The sequence below is a fragment of the Homo sapiens genome, chromosome 14 (assembly GCF_000001405.40).
Source record: "Homo sapiens chromosome 14, GRCh38.p14 Primary Assembly".
NCBI classification, from domain to species: Eukaryota; Metazoa; Chordata; class Mammalia; order Primates; family Hominidae; genus Homo; species Homo sapiens.
In genome coordinates, this window is record NC_000014.9 from 81,162,606 (window position 1) to 81,184,653 (window position 22,048).

Genomic DNA, 22,048 nt, shown 5'->3' on the forward strand with positions numbered 1-22,048 from the left:
ACTGGAGGACCACTTGAGGCCAGGAGTTCAAGGACCAGCCTGAACAAAACGGTAACACCCTATCTCTATTAAAAAAAAAATTAATTTAAGAATTAGCCAGGTGTGGTGGCATGCCCCTATATCCCAGCTATTCAGGAGGCTAAGGCAGGAGGATCACTTGAGCCCAAGAGTTTGAGGCTGCAGTGAGCCATGATTGTGCCGCTACACTCCAGCCTGGGCCACAGAGGGAGACCCCCATATCTTTAAAAAAATTTAACAATCATATGACCCCATTACGGGCATATAACTCCTCTCTGATTCTCTGAAGTCATAGGTAGGGTCACAGCTAGCCCATATTGAACCTTTGCACAAATTAGAAAAAGGTACCCTTGCCCTGGATGGACATTGCCAAGCACCAGGGTACAACAGCCACCGGCCATGATTAAGAATATTCAAAAACTCATGGGATTATAGAATAAAGAGGAAGTGACACCACTCAATATTTGGTCTTACAAAATGCCCTTAGTCATGCTTGGGGCATTGGGGCCCACATCAAGGCTGCCTCCTTATCTTGCTGGGAACCTTTCTAGCTCTCCTGCGAGTCACTCTGCCCTCGTGACTCTTTAGCTGGGAAAGTGATTGTCCTGTCCTATTGTGATATGTTTCCAACCTCCAATGTTGTACTGGGAGACTTAACATCTGTCTTGGTGATACCCAATATCTTATGGAAGTTTGACAAGTTTTGTGATTTCTCTCTTGAAATTTCTACTCTTACTTCTGCATCTGGGCCACCATCAGCCAGTAGCCAGGTTAATCCCATTAATCCAACAGCCTAACCCACTAACCATAATGTATAGTATCAGCGCCCTTATCAATGTCAATCCCTTGCCTTCAAAGGCTGGCAATAGAGAAGACTAGGAGAAGACTAGAAGTTCAAGTTTTAAAGTTTAGGCACCTTTCTCTTTATGGAGTGTCTAGCTTCTTGGCCAACCTGAATCTGGGCCTGATTTTATTAGTAAATCAACAGATCATTTTAGTTTTTACTTTGTGTAAAGTAAGCATAAAAGGTTCTCTCCCATGAGTCAAATACACATGTCTTCACACTAGGATTGAAGCTATTAACATGAATATTGACCAGTTACGTGTTTTATTTACATACATCTATGTTCTCCCCTGTGACCTAGATAAGTCCAGTTGTTGGGCAGCTGAGCTCTGCAGTAATGGCCCAAAATGGACAGAGCAGACTCATCCTCAAAATCAAAACACGGCAAAGGGATGAACCTTTCTTTCAAATATGAGGAAGGTTAACATGACCTAAAAACAAAGCTCTTCTGTTCTTTGCCAGATAGAAATGACCTTTCTGTGAAGAATTTAAAAAAAAAAAAAAAAGAAGAAGAAGAAGAATCTTAATGAAATACACCTGCGTCATTAGGTGCTTATTACAGACACTTAGTAAGTCTGTTAGGTCAGTGAGTGAGGCCAAGAACCTGCCAAACTGAAGGGTCATTGTCAACCAATGGAACAAAACAAATGGACAAGAAGGAGGAGGAAAGATAAGTAGTTTTGATCTGGGACATGCGGCACAGACTCCTTGCTAGAGCTGCTTGAAAACCTATCTTTCTCCCTTTTCCTTTTGCCAGAGACTTAGGGCCCACTTGACATATTCACAGTTGGCTGATGCCACACTCTAAATCCTTACCTGAGGAGCAGTGTCTCCCTCTACAGGCAGCACAGCTGAAACACAAGGAAGACCTCTCTCCACAGCAGTGCCTCTGTAACTGACATGTCCCTGTACCTCTCAGCCAGCACATTGTGATAATGACTCATTGCTCCACTGCCGATTCACAGACCACTGCCAGGCAATGTGTGGGCCTGGAACTGGTCATGCTTCTTTACCTTTCTGCATTTATCTCTAACATAAGTAACATGTCATACCCATCCATGTTAGTGTGGCCCCCAGCACAACCAGAAAACACCAACTAATGGAATTTTCCACATTCTATGGGACCCAGCAGTACCTTCTTGTTTTAGTTAAAACTCTCCAATATTGCTTATCCCATCTGATGATCATTAAATTGGAAAGTGGTAGGCCAAGTGCAGTGGCTCACACCTGTAATCCCAGCACTTTGGGGGGCTAAGGTGGGTGGATCACCTGAGGTCAGGATTTTGAAACCAGCCTGGCCAATATGGTGAAACCTCGTCTCTACTGAAAATTTAAAAGTTAGCTGGGCATGGTGGCGGACGCCTGTAGTCCCAGCTACTCGGAAGGCTGAGGCAGGAGGATCACTTGGACCCAGGAGGCAGAGGTTGCAGTGACCTGAGATTGTGCCACTGCACTCCAGCCTGGGTGACAGAGTGAGATTCTGTCTCAAAAACAATTTTTTTATTTTAAAAATTAAAAAAGTAAAAAGTTGGAAAGTGATAGATTGTACTACCTCCCTGCCCTCACACCATTACAAACTACTCAGAGGATTGAAAACAAGCTTCCCTTTTCAAAAAGGATAGGGCAATCTGATTTCAAGTCACCTGTGAACAGTCAAGGAGCAGAAATAAATGTAAGGAAAGAAAGACACCAGATAGAAATGATTCTTGCAGCCTATTAACTTACATGTTTCATCAGACTTCCCAGGACAGTCTCTCCCTCGATTTCTCATAAGAATTCCTTAGATGAAGCCAGAACCAATGATTTAGCCTCCCTTTGACACCACTCTTCTTGTCCTGTATCTGTATACCGACCTCCTTTGCCCAACTGTTGTTAAATCCAAAGCAACGTTATTCCAGGAAGTGCTGTCCCCACCTGTGAGAGTAGGCAGACATGAAGAGTTGCTCAACATCTGCTTTGCTGGATAGCTTTCTTCATTTATGAAAGCTCAAAGGCAGAATTCAAAGTTCATAGGTGGAAGAACTTAGTGCTGGCCAGCATCATCGTGCACTCCCCAGGCCACATGGAGGAGCATGAGGTGTTTGTAAATTGTTAGGTGTCTATTAAAGAATGTTATGTGTTTAAACACAGGGTTGAAGACGATACAAACTTATAGGTGAATTAAATTTAAAAGACAAAATGTTGACGAACTTCTTCAACTAAAATAATGTGACATTTATTCTCTTCTCATCACATAAATAAGAAGCAAGCTGCATATTAAAAATACATATATATGAGACCAGGCACAGTGGTTCACAGAGGCCTGTCATCTCAGTGCTTTGGGAGGCCAAGGTGGAAGGATCACTTGAGGCCAGGAGTTCGAGACCAGCCTGGATAACATAGGGTGATCCCATCTCTACAAAACATAAAAAAATATGAATTGTTCAAACACATAAATAAATGAGATCATGTTTAGGCAATGGGGCTCATGCTGATAGCTATCAAGAAATCACAGAAGTAATTAACTTGGAAAAAACATCAATGATCAATTATAAATGTGACCATGCCTGATTTTATCATTCATGTTATCTTTTTCACACTTTTCATACTTGCAAAACAAAGTCATGATTAGCTCTCTTATAGCAAACACCAGCATGTATACTCACCAAACCCATTTTCCCTACATCCTGGACACACACCTACATACTCATTCCCCAGCTTCCCTTTCAAGGAGTGTCACATCCAGCCCTTAAGACTCCTAACACAATCCTCTTGTGCTTTCCGTCTCCATATCTGCCAGACAGATGCAAAGGATCCCAGAGAGAGGGAAAAAGAGTATCTGAAGCTGCAGGGAAAAATAAATCACTAGATGAAAGAAGCCTGTGTCTCTGAATTACTGCATGGAGAAGAGCCATCCATACCAACCAGCATTGTCCCGTGACATGCAGAAGAAGCAGACCTTTGTTGAGTTAAGCCACTGAAATCTTGAAGTTAAATAAACATTACTTAAGTTTACCTTCCTGAACTAATTCACAGTCTTACACTGTATTTTTTCCTTTTACTTTAGAAATTGAGCAACTATGGACAATTTATATTTATTTTTTCCACAGTTAGAGCATATTTTAGCTCTTCATCAATGTTACTTGACTTTCTTCTGTGTCAAAACAATGTGACAGCAGATAAATAAGACAGAACTGTGCACTCATCTTTAATACAGTCCTTTAGGCAATCATGCTATCTCACAGTGCTAAAATGGAATAAAATACATAAAACCCAAATATTAAATCATTGAGAGAAATTTTTAAAATAGTCTTAGATTCCTTCTTTTTAATGATTCCTTGATGGGTGGGTGAGGTGGCACACACCTGTAATCCCAGCACTTTAGGACGCCAAGGCGGGTGGCTCACTTGAGGCCAGGAGTTAGAGATCAGCATGGCCAACTTGCCGAAACCCCGTCTCTACTAAAGATGCAAAAATTAACCAGGCGTGCTCATGCGAGGCTGTAACCCCAGCTACTCAGGGAGGCTGAGGTGGGAGAATTGCTTGAACCCAGGAGGCGGAGGCTGCAGTGAGTCGAGGTTGTGCCACTGCACTCCAGCCTGGACGACAGAGCAAGACTCTGTCTCAAAACAACAACAACAACAAAATAATAATAATTATAATTCTACGACAGCCATTTCATGAAAAAATAGAATTTATCTTCCCGTAATACACATTACTGTCAATAAACATTCCCAAATTACACAGGAAATCACTGTTAATGCCTAATGTATAAGAAAAGAAAATAAAGAAACCTTCACAACACTTTTTTCTTAAAAGAAATAATTCTGACATTTTTGACACCTGTATTAATGCTATCTAACTAATAAAATTATGAGAATTACCTGGACTAGTTCAGGAACGGTGGCCCACACCTATAATACCAGCACTTTGGGAGGCCAAAGCTGGTGGATCACCTGAGGTCAGGAGACCAGCCTGGCCAACAGGGTGAAACCCCGTCTCTACTAAAAATACAAAAATATAAAATTAGCAGGGTGTGGTGGCACACGCCTGTAGTCCCAGCTACTCAGGAGGCTGACAGAAGAATCACTTAAACCCAGGAGGCGGAGGTTGCCGTGAGCCGAGGTTGCATTACTGCACTCACTCCAACCTAGGCAAGATAGAGTGAGACTCCTTCTCAAGAAAAAAAAAAAAAAAAGAATTACCTGGACTAAATCAATGAATATAAGTGAAAATGCATAAAGAGATAGGAACACTGTCTTTGTCATCTTAGATTTCCACCAGTGCAAGGTAAAAAAACAAAAATGAAATAAGCAAAGTGTGCATTTTCCAAGTAGAATCAACTCGGGTTAGGAGGGTAATAATGGTGGCATCAACAAAAAACATTTTTGGCATCATTATTTTATTCTTTGAGTTTTTGCTTTATCTTTATATGTAAGGAAGTTTTATTGGGCCATCCCTCTGAAGAGAGACGACTAAACTGAAATAAAAGCTTAAAGATGTCTTCGTTTCTTTAAAGGATCCTGGTATATTGTTATTACTGTGTGTTTGTGGTTTTACATATAGGTTTCCATCCATGTTCCTGGCTCATAACTCCAATAGCTCTTGGTATAATGGTGGAGCACTTTAGGGCTCAGAAGCAGGCCTGAGAAAACAGAATGTCTCTCTGCTCCTCTCCTGCCCTCCTTGCACCTGCTCCTTTTTCTCTCCAAGTGAGGAATCTTCCTTGTTTTTCTATATTGGCGCTGGCCATAAAGGAATTCTCTGACCTACCTTGTCTGACTGTGGGACGTAAGACCCTCATTTCAGAAGTGATCTTGCCCCATACCCTAAAAGAAGGAGTCCTACACAGAGGGGCCAAAAGGAATCTGAACAGACAGGCCTTACAGGGTTTCCCCTCTCAGTCTATGAGTATTAGACCATACTCTTTTTGTCCAATCACATTTCTACACAGTTGTCAGTCATGCCTATTCAATGATGTTCCCATGAAAGGCTCAAGCAAGAGACCAAGGTTCAAAGAGTTTCTGGATAGCTGAACACATGGAGGTTCCTAAAGGGTGGCATATCCAGGGAGGTCACGGAAGCTCCATGCCCCTTCTCCCCTACCTTGCCTTTGCCTCTCTTCATCTGTATCATTTCTAACATCTTTTATAACAAACCAGTAAACATAAATGTTTCCCTGGGTTATTTGACCCACTCCAGCAAATTAATTGAACCCAAAGAGGGAGTTATGAAAACCCCAACTTGAAGCTGATTGGTCAGAAATTCTGGAGGCCTGGAGTTGCAACTGACATGTGAAGTAGGGGCAGTCTTGTGGGAATGAATCCTCAACATGTGGGATCTGATGCTATCTCCAGGTAAGCCACAACAGAATTGTAGAATTTGTTGCTTGCTTAGTAGCAGGAAGAACACCTCCACCCCAGTTTGGTCACAGACATCTTCTGTGTTGATTGTTGTTAAGAGAGAGAATAGAAAAAGCACTTTGAGTTTGAGTGTGGTTTTTTCCCACAGAAGTCTTTATTGTCTACAATTCATGAAGCAATTTAATGTTGTTATGCATTATATTTCTTCCACTTTCCTTTAAAACTTAACATTCTAATTTTTCTCTCACAGTCAATATTTTGACCTATTCATGCTTACCAATTTCTTTGTTTTCCATTTCTTCTTTCATCCTCTTTTGAATTTCCATAATCTTTTTTCTAAAGTTTATTGTTTACTAGGTCTTTCTGCCTGGATAGAACTTGTAAATAATAAACACTTTCAGTTTTTATTTTAAAATATCTTTATTTCATCCTGACTGAAATAATATTTTTAGCTGGGTCTAGGTTCCTAGATTGAATTATTTCCCCTTAGTACTCTGAATACACTAACAAGGTCTTTATCCTCGTTTTTAATGAGGAACCTGCTCTTAATGGGTAAGTAGTCATCTCCGAAGTCAGACTGGGTCCAACTTGACTCCACCACTCACTTGCTGTGTGACTTTGGGCAAAGTCTACAATCTCTCTGTACCTCACTTTTCCTATCTGTAAAATGGGGAGAAATCTAAAGCGTAGTGCATTGGGTTATTTAAAGATTCATACATGTGTAGTGTCTGAGACATAAAAAGCATTTGGCATTATTCCTATTTATTTGCTCAAGATGAGATGCCTTCTTGCGTTTGAATTGTTGTGTTACATTGCTCCCAGAAACATCTTGATTAGATGATTTTTCCCAGAAAAATAACAGATGCAGTCAATAAGTGCTGCTCCCACCGAGACACCAAAATATCCCGTAAACCAACACACTCTGAGCAGATCTTCGCAGTGAAACGCTGAGTCCACAGAGCGGCCACACAGACACGAGGCTGAAGAGGAAGGAAGCTGGGAACCCTGCGCGGGGTGAGTGCCAGGACTAGTTCCAGGCCCAGAACGTTTCCTAGGGAAGGGTTGAGTAAAGTGACAGTGGGGCAGCCCACTCTCCTCACGTATTTCTGGGATCCCAGCTATAAGAGATCCTATGACCCCCACAGACAGTTGAATTGGCAGGGGGATCTGCCCAGGGAGTAGGCAGAGACAGAGCTCCAGGTTGCAGGGAGCCCAGGGGGTTTTGTGTGCATGGCAGCTGCAGAGGAAGGTGGCTATAGGCGCCTATCCCCCAAGGCTCCCCATCTGACCTCAACTTACCAGTGAGCCAAGAGAGAGCAGGGCGGTCCTTCCTGCGGGACTGGGGCGCATATGTTCTGCGGGACCCCCTGCACGCAGCCCCTCCCAAAGCCCCTGTCTGGTTGTTCCTGCAGGAGTGTGTGCACTGTGCCGCCTCCGCTGCCCAGCCTGAGTTCTTGCTAGCGACCCCGCCTGAATGCTTTCCAGGCAGCTTGGGAGCACTTCGGATCCCCCAACACAGCAGGGGTCTGACCCCGAGGGGCCGAAAGACAGAGCCCAATGCCCCAAGGTTGCAGCACAGAGCTCAGGAGTGCCCAGCTGAGACCTGTGGCTGGTGCGCAAGCGCGGGGGAGGAGCCTCCACTCAGAACACTGGGAGGAGTGAGAAGCAGTTCGTGGGCCAGCGCGGGATGAGACTTGTCTCTCTCAGGGCCTTTCAGGGAAGGGTTGCGGCCTGTCTGCAAGCCTTAGCCTCTGCCGGAGAGAGCCCCCACAGCTCCGAACACCTAACAAAGGAAACGTAAGTGCAGCTCCAGTGATTGGAGGGGGCTCCTCTAAGGGCCAGGAGAGGACTTGGCAAAAGGATCATCTCTCTCCCCTGAACTATGGAGCATGACTGCGAATACAAAATACCAAAGAGCCAGCGCTGAGTCAGAGCCTGCCGGCAATTACTCTTAAGCGCCATCTACTGGTTTGCCGCCGAAATTACAATTTCAAAATATTCTGCCAGTATAGAGCACCTGTAAAACCCAGAGCAAGAATCTAGCCACAAAGATCCCATACAGAGCCTTGGCCCTCTGAAAGTATCCAGAAATGAAGCCAATTGACTATACTCAACATATACCACAGTTAAGCCCTCAAGGTAAATGAATAATATAAAAACAAGACGACAAAGGAACACCAGCCCTCTCAAAAGAGTCAGCACAAGAACTCTGGCAATTCAAAACGTCAAATAAGCATACTAGCCCCTCAGCAAGGACTGAAATGTCCGGAATGACAGACATAGAATTCAGAATCTGGATACCAAAGAAGCTCATCAAGATTCAAGAGGAAGTAGAAACCCAATCCAAGGAATCCAGTAAAAATGACCCAAAAATTGAAAGACAAAATAGCCATTTTTAAAAAGAACCAAACTGAACTGGAATTTAAAAATTCACTACAAAATTTTCATAATAGTGTTGGAAGCATTAACAGAGGAATAGATCAAGCTGTGGAATCTCAGAGCTCAAAAACTGATTCTTCAAATCAACTCAATCAGATAAAGAAAAAAATTTTAAATATACAAATCTTCAGAGAGGATACTCAATCTGTATCCACTGAACAATTTCTCATTTCCTGCTTCCTCCAGTCCGGAGTAACCACCATTCTACTTTTTGTTTCTAAGAATTTGATCACTGTAGATAACCTCATTTAAGTGGAATTGTGTAGTATTTATCTTTTTGTGATTGGCTTATTTCATGTATGTGAAATGTAAAAAAAAAATGAAGCTAACAAATATTTTATTAAAACTAAACATTAATGTGTTTCATGCCACTGAACTGTACACTTAACCATGGCTAAAATGGTAATCATATTTTATCACAGTAAAAAAAAATGGAAAAACACTCTCAACGCTAACTGTAACACTAACTGTAACAATTAGACCAGTTAGAACAAAAAATTATTTCTTATGGGAAGGTGTTCTATCATTGACATAGTTTAGGATTGCTGGCACATGGTAATAATAAAAAGCACACTACATGTAATCAATTTAATAATGATTGTGTTTATGTTCTCGGCCAGCAGTTCACCTCCTTATTGCCCGTCCCCCAGGACTGACTGCCCCCCTCCCTGGGCACAACACTACTGCAAAATATGCCAAGAGCAGGATTTGATAGCTTTACCATGAGGCTGTCCAGCAATGTGGGCTCCCATGCTCACATATTTAAAGTGGGGTTTTTCAGTAACTGTCTTAGTCTGTTCAGGTTGCTGTAACAAAATACCATGAAATTGGTAGTTTCTAAACAATTGGCATTTATTTCTCAGAGTTCTGGAGACTGAGAAGTCCCAGATCAAGGGGCCAGCAGATTTGGTGTCTGGTGAGAGTCTGTTCCTTGTTGCACTCTCACATGGTGGAAAGGGCTAGCTAGTTCTCTGAGTCTCTTCCTAAGTGCATTATGCCCTCACTGCCGAAAGACACCCCGTCTAATACCATCACCTTGGGTTAGAATGGCAGCATATGAATTTGGGGGTGTAGAAACATTCAGACCATAACAATAACCACAGGACATTTGTCTCCAAGTTTCTATATTCCTGATGCATCCTGCCATGAAACCCGCAGAAGCCACGCCCACTTTAATTGCATTAGGGAGCTCTCTTAGGAATAAACTTATTTCACCATCAGATTCACCAGAAGGGAAGTGATATGAGGTAAGGCTAGACAGATCTCCTTCAAGCAAACAAACATACTTTTTTTTTTTTCTGTGAAAACATTCTTTTCCTTTAACTCATTGAACTATTAGGAGAGGGCAAAAACAGAACTGACTACTTTGCCAACCCCCAAGTCTTCACTGAATGACTCTTCAGAAGGACTTTGCTGTCATGGTCCCAGCCAGTGTTTTTATTTGTCTCTCTGTCTTTTCAGAGTGGTGAGTACAGACAGTGGAGAGTGAAGAACTGTCCCCAGAATATCTCCTCTGAACAGAAACAAGAGACCAGGTTGGCTGCAAGGCCACAGCCTCTTATTAACAGGTGTAGCTAAGATGGAAACATTTGTTCCTGGAAACTGAGGTGACGAAAAGACCCATCCCATCCTAAGCTAGGGATGGAGTATCTTGACCTCACTCTGCCAATCTGCCCTAGCTTCAAACTATGGTCTCGCTGTGTGGCCTTAGGCAAATTACTTGGCCTCCACAAAGCTCCATCAACTCATCTGTAAAATGAAGATAAAAATAACCACCCTCAAGACTACTGTATTTGAAAAAACAGGCAATGCATTTGTCACTCAAGAAGTATTTGTTCCGAGTCCCCATCCCTGTTTTCTTCATACTTGCTGCATACTTCAAAACCAGTATTTCCAAACACTTCTCTCTGCTCCACAAAAGCTGTGTCTGTAAAATCTTTCAGTGTCCTTCTTCTACCTTTAATACCCTCCCTGAGAACAGGAACTCTTGGTTGTGGGAGACGAATTCTATGGAAAGGCTCCAGAACACATGGAGCATGTCAAAAAGGAGGCTTTAAGAACATGAAAATAACACTAAGTATATATATCACACACCCTCTTTATAACATAGAACTTAAAAGCTGAGTGCCATCTCAAGATAGAGCACAGGGTCCTTATACATTTCACACCAAGAAGGAGAGGAAGTCTTGGAAAGTTGATCAGAGCAGATTTGTGCTAGAACAAGTTCAGGAAGATGTCAAGGACTTTGGAGTCTCTGTGCTCTTTCAACTCCTACAAATGGACCTCCAGTGGCCTCATCCACTGAGGCCGATTGGCCCCCAGAGAGAGATGCTATGCAAGGGATGAAGAATCTTGAAGGGACTCTGCCAATTCTACCAATCAGTCACTTCACCAAGACTGTAGGGAGTTTGAATATGGGTTGTCATGGTACACATAGTAGGTATTCAAGTATTTGCGGAATACATGAATGACACAAAATATAATGGGCTTAAATGTAACAAACTCCTTTATGTTCGAAGATAATCAGCCAACCACAATTGTGATGCTGGTATTACAAGTATTGCTATTTTGGTAATTCACTGAAGATTTTTGAATAGGATATTGAATGTCTAATGGGAAGAAGGGGCTAATTGGGAAGGCAAAAGACTCCTACAAGGGAAAGGTGATATCTTAAGACACACTTTGCATGAATAATGCTTTTCTTTCTTGGTTGCAAACAACAGAAACAGACTTATTTTAAGCAGAAAAGGGATTGGAAGGGTACAGTAGTTTGCAGCCAAAGTCTGCTTAGGAGGTTGCCAATAGCACTCTTGCCCCAGTCAATATCACACCACCAGACCTGAACATATATAGGACCTCTGACTGATCCTGCAACTTTGTTTCATGCTCTTAAGACTCAAAGTCCTGAGTGTAAGCATCAGTCTGACCACCTCAGATTTTGGTCCCTGTTTCTGGATCCAGTGACAGGTGACTTCTTACTTGCTATTCTACTTCCATAAAGAGGTATATATTACCCTCCATTCTTCTTGGCATGAAGCAAAATAGGAAGGGTATTCTGACACTGAGAAGCCAAAACAACAAATGTCCCTTGTACATCCCTGCTGAAAGTGAACAGCTCTAAAGAGCTTTACTCTCAGCCGGGCGCAGTGGCTCAAGCCTGTAATCCTAGCACTTTGGGAGGCCAACGCGGGTGGATCATGAGGTCAGGAGATCGAGACCATCCTAACATGATGAAACCCCGTCTCTACTAAAAATACAAAAACAAAATTAGGAAGGCGTGGTGGCGGGAACCTGTAGTCCCAGTTAACTTGGGAGGCTGAGCCGGAAGAATGGTGTGAACCCGGGAGGCGGAGCTTGCAGTGAGCTGAGATGGTGCCGCTGCACTCCAGCCTGGGCAACAGAGCGAGACTCTTGTCTCTAAAAACAAAAAAAGCTTTACTCTCTTCATCTCTTGCAACTAACCTGGGTGAACTTTAGTTTTCCTGGCCCTATTTGCCCCACTCAGCAATGCCACCCTAACCTATGCATCATTAGCATGGAGGTCCTGTCAACACAGAGAAGTCAATGTACTCTTTTTCAAAGTGGAGGAGACATTGTGAGAATCAGAGTGATGTATCCGTATCTTCAATGTTTGACAACTCTGTTTTGCTCCTTAAATGAACTGGACAGACTCCATTCATATTTGGAAAAGTCCATTTTTAAAATGATAGTTCTATCATAGTTTTAGCTTTGAGAAAATTCAACTTATTTAGACATATAATTTAGGATTTTTTTGGCGGGGGGAGAGAGGGAGCTTAAAGGCCCTCCCACTGTTTGATTATCCCTCTCCCATACCCAGCACTCAATTTTCTTCCCTCTGACACTTTCTGCTGTAGCCAGATGCATTGTTTCACCAACTTACCCTCCCAGGATTGTTTGGTTATAATGAACTCTTTCACTGGTTCTCAATTTGTTTTTGCTATTTTTGACCATTAATTTTTTCCGGTTCAAGAATAATTTTAAACTATGCAAATAAGTATGAAATTAAGCATATAATTGTGACATCTGAGTGCTGACTGTGTACCAGGCACCAGCCTAAGAGCTTTACATGCATCACACCTCATTTCATCCTCAAAATCTTGTCATTTTACAGCTGGAGAAACAAAAGCCAAAAGCTTAAGCTTAATCAAAGTAGGGGCTTGAATTAAACTGCAAAATACAAGATTTGCTGGCAATAAATAAGATATCTTTATTATGATTATGTTAATAGTTAAAATTTGCATGTTTTCTAGATAGTCTGTTAACAGGATAAAAAAATACAAAAAGGCGAGCTTCTTAATGATTCAGCTGAATTAACTATAAAATTAAAATACCTGCTAATTATTATCTTCTAAAATAACACAAAATATATTCAATACGCAATACAAACCTCAGTAATCCAATTCTCCTAATATGCAATTATTTATAACCTCTGAACTAAGAGGAAGTGGTTTGACTAAACAGAGAAATAACAATGTTTTTATCCTAAGTAATCTATACTTTGGAGTAGAAATACTTATTTAATACAATATGTTAATTATTAATATTTCACAAGGAGTAATCTTTATTTTGAAAAACAATGTTAATTATACCAATTTTTAGTTATAATTTGTTAGTGTGAATTCGCCCAACCTAAATTCCTGTGTGCCTGGAAAATACAACTTTTTAAAAGCTAGTATTAATCATTTGTAACACAGTTTACTAATTCAAATTGACATCTCAATCTACTTATCTTTAAGGTACAGAATTTAGCATCTTTTTGTTGTTGTTAAATGGAATTCTCATTAACAATGTAAAGCATTTTCCTTTCTAAATTGTATTTTATTCAATTATCTATAACAATGCCATATACTAGTAAGCAAAGCAAGCAACATTTTTTTTTAAATAACATCTTTAATTAAAGTTTTTGCAAAGTAGAATATTAAACTTAAAATAGGTCTTAGTACATCAAAATACTAAGTTCTCTAATTGTATTCCAAGATGGTCTTTAAAACATAATATCCCATATATCACAGAAGAGCAACCTTGATCTGCAATGAATTTTACAAACATAATAAATATATTTACGCCATTACACATAACAGTATGTACAACAGCAGTTGACAATAGTAGCTCAGAACAGCAAAAAGGATTAGCCCCGCCCCCCAAGTCATAGTCCTGATGTAGACTGGACTGATTAAGGAACCTTGACTGAAAGAGTAGTTACTAACTCAATGTGTAGTAACTTCCCTTAAAAGAGAAAAGTTTTTTTGTTCCTCAAAATAAACAAAAATGTTAGTTTGGTGTGTTCTTCATTAAACCATAGACAATGACAAAAGACAAGAGTAAGGCAGGCTTAAAAAGGGAACAATATAAACTTCGTAATAATTTTCATAGCATAATAGAGGACTAAAATGCAAAGCTATTTAACAAACTCATGAGGAAACAAGTAAAGCAACTATTTTTTAACTAAAGAATTCAAAATCTGCTATAGCTGATTCTGACAGGTAGGTGAGAGAAAGACATGAAATAAAATGAAAATGTACAAAGATGGATCAACAAACTATTACATTGCACAAAAGCTTAAAAAAAAGAAAGTTCAAGATGAAATAATCGGAAAAACAGGAATTTTCTCAAGTAGAAGAAAATGCTAAGTCATAAAGAGAACTCCCAAGAGGAAATTATGTCTGTTTTCCTATACAAGGGGTATTTACCCTCTGATAAGAATGGTGACATTATTGCTATGAGAATCAAAAATAGTATACTCTTAGAGGGAGACAACTCTTTTCATTCCTCCATAAAAGCCAGGAAAAAAAAAATCTGTGACTTTCATTATAGCAAAAGAAAATATTCATATAAAAGCTATATGTTATTTCCTAAAACCAGAATCTATTATGCTCATTAAGCACACATTTTAATTACTACACACTGCTCAAGTCTTGATGTAATCTTAGAACAAGAAAGTGGCTTTGCTTTTAAAAGAGGCAACAGTGTAAATGTGACATTATGATGGCATTTTAATTAACAGAAAGAAATGTGAACATTTAAAAAATAGAAAAGCCCAACATAAAGATCCCCCTCACATAACAGACATTTTACTCTAGAAATTAATTGCACATTAAAGAGTTGTTTTAGCCATATGTGGCACTCCACAGAAATTAAACATGCTCTCAGGCATTCAAATGGTCTGATTACCCAAATGGCCACCAAGCAAGAGTTTGTATACTGAAAGGCACACATTTCCATGTTTTATCTTGTAATTTTGTGTAAATTTTCCTTAGCACTGTTGATTAATGTTAATTTAAGTAAAAGGTGCCATCGCCATCTGTGCAAATCTAAACAAATCCTCTCCAGAAACCATTACTTATTTTCATAATACCAAGTCCGAACTATTTTCTGCCTTTAGATAAACATGCTACTTTCATTTTCAAATTCTGAAAGTGGAAATCCCTTGCCTTTTCAAAGGAATGACATTTTAATGGAACCTAATACGAAATGATTTGTTAAATACAATGTTAAAAGCATGATTAAGAATTCAAGTACAATAAAAGATAAGCAAGTGACATTCTTACAGCAAAAGCTACTATAATAAAACTAAAACATGCTATTTGATTAAAAAGGACACGATGCAAATAATATATAAGAGCACAATTTGGTATGCAATGTAGCTTGGACCAGCTTTCAGAATTTTCACAGGTAAAAGAAAAGCATTTGCCAAGTATACCATAATTCATATGCAATACGCAGGTGCAAATACAAATGGTTATTTCCTGCTTCAAAAATAACAAAATAACCACTCTGAAAGCAGTGGTTGTTAATATTTGAAAAATAAAGTTATAAAAACAGGCCAGTATACAACACTACTATGAATATGAATGTTTGTCTACATAGAGGGCCCAAGACAAGCTGAATATCATACAGTAATCCAAGTTTCAGTAGCATAAAAACTACTAGATAGCCAAAGGGTTTCACTTAAGCAACACTGCAGCACTGCTGAATTTTTATAGGTAGTTCAGGTCACTGACTTCCTTACTGAGTAAATACAAACCTACTAGCAACTATATTGAAGAACAGTTGAACAACAGCACTTCTGTGATGTTACTCCCTCCCATTTCCTCTTCTCTCAGTCTTAATAATATATATTTTAAAACCTCTGTGTGCTTTGAGAGTCACAGAATAAACAAACTTCCCCTCAAAAAACTAAATTAATATAGTCAAAATAAAAGCTGTATTACCAGTTATGGCATCTAAATAAAATCTAACTACTAGCATGCTAGACACCACCATTAACACCAAAGTTTAGAACATAAGTTAAAGAGATCAAGGTGGTAAGCTGGGTGGGAAGTAGAAAAAAAAAATTTTTGCCTTTTTTTAAAGTTAAAAGATTTGTGTTAAAAAAGAAACACTATATAATAGCTCACAGTTTTCTTCTCTGTAATGTACTTTAAAAAGTGTTCATGTGTTACTTCTGAAAACACAAAGGCAAAAGGAAGACAAAAACTGAAGATTAAAAAAATATATCAATATACAAGTAACCTAAACACATGTAAATTTTGTCAAGATAAACCATGGAAAGTTGAATTCGTTGTAAGAACACAATGGTGAAGACAAGCATTCCTGCAGTTCTCCCAGGCAGTGAATTCACACTGAACACAGCAGTGCCATATTGTTCTTCAGAGCCCCTTACAGAATACAGACCTATGCATTCTTAATATACATATTACATTTCTATTATTTTTAATATACAAGTCAAATTTCTATGCTTTCTTCCCAATGTGCAAACTGGAGCCAACGTCTTTATTTTCAATGGCCTGGAAGGGCCACCAAATGAAAGAGAGGTAACTTAGTGGCCCACCCACCTCTTCCCCCCAAATTTTCCCCTCAAATTACAAAGTTGATTTTAAAAACTTGTTGAATTAGAATAGATTTTTAAAATTCTTTACTAGTAAACACAAGAAACTTTTATAATTACTAAACTGTTTAATAAAAATCCAGGTCCTCACCACCTGCCCTATGCTAATCAATGCACAGACTGTTAACTGAATGTTTAGCTTAAAAACTAAACACATTTATAAGCACACACTTCAGCCCAACAGGAAAAGTCTACATATATTCATGTGTATACAATTTCAGCTAGATGGTATGCTTGCAAAATAAAACTATATTCCTGAGGAGCTAGTTTGGGGTTTCTTTTTAAGGTGTGGCACTAAAAGAAACAAATTAAGTTTTTCTGTAAGGAAATTAAAGTTGTGGTTTCAATTCCACTGAACTCAGACAAGACCCAAGTCTTTAATTACATTTAATAAGTATGAAAACCTAATTAAAATAAATATTCATTCCTGGGTCAAATTTTATCTCCAAACTATGATCACTGATAACTTTAAATCTTAAATAGATGTTTCATAAAGCTGGAAAGGAAGAGGTATATATCACTGAGGGAGAATAGCAAGTAAAAATATTTAAGACCTATTATGAGAGTTTTAAATTGTTTTCTTATACAAGTGAATTAAAATTCAACACAATTCTTACCCTTTTGTAAAAAGCTCACACGCAACTTTTACCAAATATAACCACATACAATAAGCAGTTTCAGTTCAATCTATCAAAAGGGAAGTTTCTTCAGTTCATTCCAACAAGTATCTTCTGATTGAACCCAAGTTGGAGGAAGGAATATAGACAAAGCTTTACATGCTAATTACCGGTGGCAGGTACCTGTATTTAAAATCAACAATTATGGTTTTCCTACACAAAACCCCAACCCTCCCACCCAAAAACCCTAGGTGCTACAGTTCCATGGCTTGCCAGTAAGTAGTGTCTATGTTGTCAAGGTCTATCTTTGTTCCAGTAGCTTTGCTTCTACTGCACTTTTCTGACATGCAGAAACGAAGTTTTGGTTGGCATATGCCCCAAGTTTCAAACTGTCCGCTTTACATTTTTTTTAAGTTTCTTTTATTTATAAAAGAAAAAAAGCAACTCTTCACCATTCTGCATCTCCAATGGCTTTGGAAAATATATAATCTCTTCCATTAAGATTCATAATGCCATCCTTGAGATGAAATTTCCATTTGTTTTTACTTCTGTGTATCTAAACAAAAACAACATTTTAAAAATTGAGAGATACAATCAGAAAACAGAGAAAACAAGTAACAAAAAACCCATACACACACACACGTACACACACACCCCCCCACAAAACAGTATTTACAGTATTGTATTTGCAAATTGGTTTGTTTTTGTAGAAGAAGGGTCTCCTATGTTGTGCAGGCTGGGCTCGAGCTCCTGGCCTCACGTGATCCTTCTATCTCAGCCTCCCAAAGTGTTGGGATTACAAGCGTGAGTCACAGCACCTGGCCTAAAAATTGGTTTCTTAATAAAGTTTAATTTCACCAAAAAGAACAACAACAACAAAAAAACCACACACAAAACTCACTAGGTGGGTCTAAAAACAAATTTATCTGTAATTAGTACTATTTTATAGCTTTTAGTACTTGTGTTCATTAAAGTAGTTAAAAAATATTTCTTTACAAAATGTCTTATCTCTCTACCAGGTTTGCATATATATTTTCAAGGTCTACCTCAAAAAGACTATCCTCCACAAAGCTTTCCCAAATCTTACCAGCTAAAACTATTCTTTTCCACTGTTAAATTCCCAATGGTATTTTCATTGACATTTCTTACATTATTTGTAAGTAATACAATTATGGACTCATTTCTTCTACCAAAATAAAACTCCTTATAGAGTTCTCAAGACCTAACTACCATGGAACCTTATACATAGCAGTATTTTAAAAATACATCTAAAGGATGCTAATCATCCAGTCACTTACACCAGATTTCAAAAACTATGTACATCCACAGTTAAACAAAAAGAGCTGAAGGGCAGGCTCTGGGCACTCCCATCTTTGCCTTCACTTATAGTCCGTAGTTGTTTGTAATTCCATGGATTTGGTGGGGGAGAGGAGTTGTAAAACTTAATGAACTGAAGTGACCTTTCTTCCTTTTCCCAGTAAGTCACACTAATTATTTAATGTTCAAGTTCCACATCTTCTGCAAAGAAGGCCCCCTGGTTCTCCCTATTCTATGATCTAAAGGTACCTAAAAAAAAAAAAAAATCAACTAGTTCAGGCTTTCATTTTCAGAAGAAGAAATGACAGATTGGATAGGGTTCAATGGTTTGACCAAGTGTATACTGCTACTAAGTGACAATCATGATTTTCAAGTCTTGGTCCAGTACGCTTTTACTAAATCAGTCTGTTTCATATAATAATGCAGAAATGCTCAACAGGTATAGATATTTTCTTTTTCTTTTTTTTCTTTGAGACAGAGTCTCACTCTGTTATCCAGGCTGGAGTGCAATGGCACGATCTTGGCTCACTGCAACCTCCCCCTCCCAGGTTCAAGTGATTCTCCTGCCTCAGCCTCCTGAGTAGCTGGGATTACAGGCACTCACCATCACGCCCAGCTAATTTTTGTATTTTTGTAGAGATGGGTTTCACCAGGCTGGCCAGGCTGGTCTTGAACTCTTGACCTCAGGTGATCCCCCACCTCGGCCTCCCAAAGTGCTGGGATTACAGGCGTGAGCCACTGCACCCGGCCAGGTACAGATATTTTCTGAGATCTCATTCCTAAAATTCCATGGCCTAACCTCCCAGTGCAAACATTCTTCATGACATATTCCTGGCAAATGGTTGTGCAGTGTCTGCTTAAATACGATTAGAAACAGTGAGCAAAGAATTTCAAATTAAGTTATTCCTTTTTGGAACAGCTCTCTTGTAAAATCTTTCAGAGTTTACCCTTACGGAAATCTGCTTCTCCAACTTCCATTTATTGATCCTAGCTCTGCTTTTTGAGACTTAAAAAAAAAAAATCACTCAATCAAACAACCTTCATCTTATTTGGAAACTACTCTCATGTTCTTCTTCTGGATTCAAACTTTGCTTACTTATTAAAGCAAAACAAAGCACAATAAAGGTAAAACAGCAGGTAGGGTAAAGACTGTTGGATTAAGAACTAATTATATCTCTGGTCTAAATACACTACATAAATGCTAAATGTAGCATCTTAAGATTGATGACTTGAATGTCTAACGGACATACCAGACTTGGCATGTCCAACCAGCTCCACATGCAGCTTTTCCTCATCTGAACTGATGGTATCACCATCCTTCTTTCAGAATCCTCATCAAAAAATCTCAAGAGTCATTCTTGATTCCTTTTTCTTTTCTACCACAAATCTCAGAGTCAGGAAATGCTGTTAACATTCTTCCTTCAAAACAAATCCAAAATCCAACTACTTCTCACCAACTTTAATACCATCACCATAGGCCGAGTCATCATTATCTCCCATGTGAATTATTATAATATCCCCCTAAATAGTCTCGTTTCAGCAACCTCTGCTTCCTCCTCATATTATGCTCTCTACAAAGAAAGCAAAGTAATCCTTTCAAAATTTAAATCAGTTCATACCATTTGTCTCACTGAAACCTTCCAATAACTTTCTGATTCACTTAAGAGTAAGAGCCATGTCCTTACAAAATCCTTACTATCTGCCTTCCCTTACCTCTCTACCTACTACTGTACTCTCCTCTTCCCTCACTCCAGTCTAGCCACACAGGCCTCCTTGCTGTTCCTCACATACAACAGACTCTGCCACCAGATGACAGGGCTAACTCTTTCCAAGTCTTTGCTAAAATGTCATTTTCTCCAAAGACCTACTATGACTATCCTATTTAAAACTGAAACCAAACCTGTCCTCTTTCCCTGCTCTTTATTTTTCCATACCGACTATCAGCTTCTAACATATAAATATTTTATTATGTTTTAAATAAGTAAATAAATCCTAATTTATTATGTTTTAGCATCTATCTCCCCTGATTGGAGTAAGCTTCCCAATGGCAGGGACTGTTCTGTTTTGATCATTAGTGTATCTCAAGCTCCAAGAATAGTGCCAAGGGACATCATAAACAGTATCTGTTGCACATGAAAAGAGCTGTCTCCCCTTATCTTTGAATTCCTATAAAGTATTATTTATTCTACAAACGTGTATACAAATGTATTTCCAGCATGAACCAAGTGACTGCAACCAGAAAGACCGTGGGCTTAGCTAGACAAAAACAAGAAAGTGATGAGTAGCCAGGAAATAAGAGATTCTATAGACAAGTAAAGAAACTGCCTGCATTCTGTCATAGGACAGGACAATTTGCAAAAAATAAATGTACCAAAGTTTCATGGGCCAACTAATCCACACAGTCAACACTGAAGTCATGTTGGGTAATAAATGGTAAATATTTTTATATTAATAGAAGTACAAAGTCACAACTTAAAAAGCAATCTATTTACCGGCCCTAAGCCCTTCATGAAGGAATATTCTTAAAGCCAGGAGAAAGCCCTCTTAAATTTCCTAATTAAAAATGTGTTAAAGCAAGTTTACCTACATCTGATGCTATTTTCGCTAAATGCTGTATCAGCCCTTATCCACCCACACGTAAGCAAGAACTCTACCATATTATTAGCATTTAACTAAGATTCTGATTTGATTGGCAATACAAGCTTTATTAGTCGTTCTATGATCTCTTCTAAAATTGACTCATTGTTGACATTCTAAAGTTAAGGCTTCAAAACTACATTCCTGAAATTCAAGTTGGCTCAAACAATATCCAACCTCATTTTGCGCAGTCAAAGAAAACTGCTGTTCTTTACTATTGGCTAAAGACATCAAGCCACCACCCTCCTCCAATCTTCAGAGCAATTCATTTGATTCTCAAAATTAGACCTCTGCAAATTTTAAAATTATTTATCATTCAGCACACCATTTAGAGCTATCTCCCACTTACTAATTTAAAACAGTAAAGTAATGTCTCTGGGAGCAAAACAAACCAATTTTAACATTTAAAATATTATGAGTACAGTTTGTGCCAAAGGAGAATACAACCATTGTCTTAAAGTAGGAAGACACTTAAAAGTATATTCTTCAGTCAGGCTAAAACAAAGGTCCTCGCTTGCCTGATAAATCTGACATCTCATCATGAAATTGTGTTCTGGATAATTTGGTTGCAAGGAGATCCTCTGAGACTTCCTAACAATAAAGATTTAATGGTATCTTTTGTTTTAACCTCATAGTCTTGCTCTATGTGTATCTAACAGGAAATTACATTTATTATACTGCACATGGTATATGGTTTTAAGAACAGTCTCTCAGAAGTCATTATGCACAAAAATGAATGCTGTGAAACTCTCAATGACCTTACTGTCTTCATTCTATAACTTCACTGGTAAAACTAGCCTAACTCCACCTTTTTATTAGTAAATAAGATCCATAGTGTTGGCATTCTCCCTATAGATCTGTTTGAAGTAAGCACGGCTACTTATCACATTCATTTCCATAAAAGCAACAGAATTAAGATTTTCTT

General features: G+C 38.9%; 1 protein-coding gene and 2 long non-coding RNA genes across 11 annotated transcripts in view, besides 2 other annotated features; 1 reads left to right on the forward strand and 2 right to left on the reverse strand.

Moving 5' to 3' along the window:
* The window catches only part of TSHR-AS1 (TSHR antisense RNA 1), a 156,341-nt gene extending 148,540 nt beyond the window's left edge, over positions 1–7,801 (reverse strand). For 6 of the 7 annotated variants that reach the window (XR_001751022.2, XR_007064290.1, XR_001751018.3 and 3 more), the window contains exons 1-2: positions 7,504–7,801; positions 2,588–2,776 (exon numbers count right to left, since the gene is read on the reverse strand). This is a non-coding gene — a long non-coding RNA (TSHR antisense RNA 1). Of the gene's footprint in view, positions 1–2,587; positions 2,777–3,507; positions 3,650–7,503 lie in introns of those variants that run through there. The other variant, XR_007064289.1, reaches the window with a different exon arrangement.
* On the forward strand, positions 6,167–9,230 carry LOC105370594 (uncharacterized). The gene is made up of 2 exons (XR_944073.3): positions 6,167–6,198; positions 7,056–9,230. It is a non-coding gene; the product is annotated as an uncharacterized LOC105370594 (long non-coding RNA).
* Positions 7,526–7,585: an enhancer, noted in NCBI's record as "active region_8823". NCBI's record gives its function as "activates an Ori minimal core promoter by ATAC-STARR-seq in GM12878 lymphoblastoid cells {active_cell/tissue: GM12878}" and the evidence as "EXISTENCE:reporter gene assay evidence [ECO:0000049][PMID:35858748]".
* Positions 7,806–8,175: an enhancer, noted in NCBI's record as "active region_8824". NCBI's record gives its function as "activates an Ori minimal core promoter by ATAC-STARR-seq in GM12878 lymphoblastoid cells {active_cell/tissue: GM12878}" and the evidence as "EXISTENCE:reporter gene assay evidence [ECO:0000049][PMID:35858748]".
* A 3,616-nt stretch (positions 9,231–12,846) lies between the features above and the next one.
* The window catches only part of GTF2A1 (general transcription factor IIA subunit 1), a 45,939-nt gene continuing 36,737 nt past the window's right edge, over positions 12,847–22,048 (reverse strand). For all 3 annotated transcript variants that reach the window (NM_201595.3, NM_015859.4, NM_001278940.2), the window contains one exon: positions 12,847–17,725. In NM_201595.3, coding sequence (NP_963889.1) covers positions 17,618–17,725 — 108 coding nt within the window. In that variant the 3' untranslated portion in view covers positions 12,847–17,617. The remainder of the gene's footprint in view (positions 17,726–22,048) is intronic.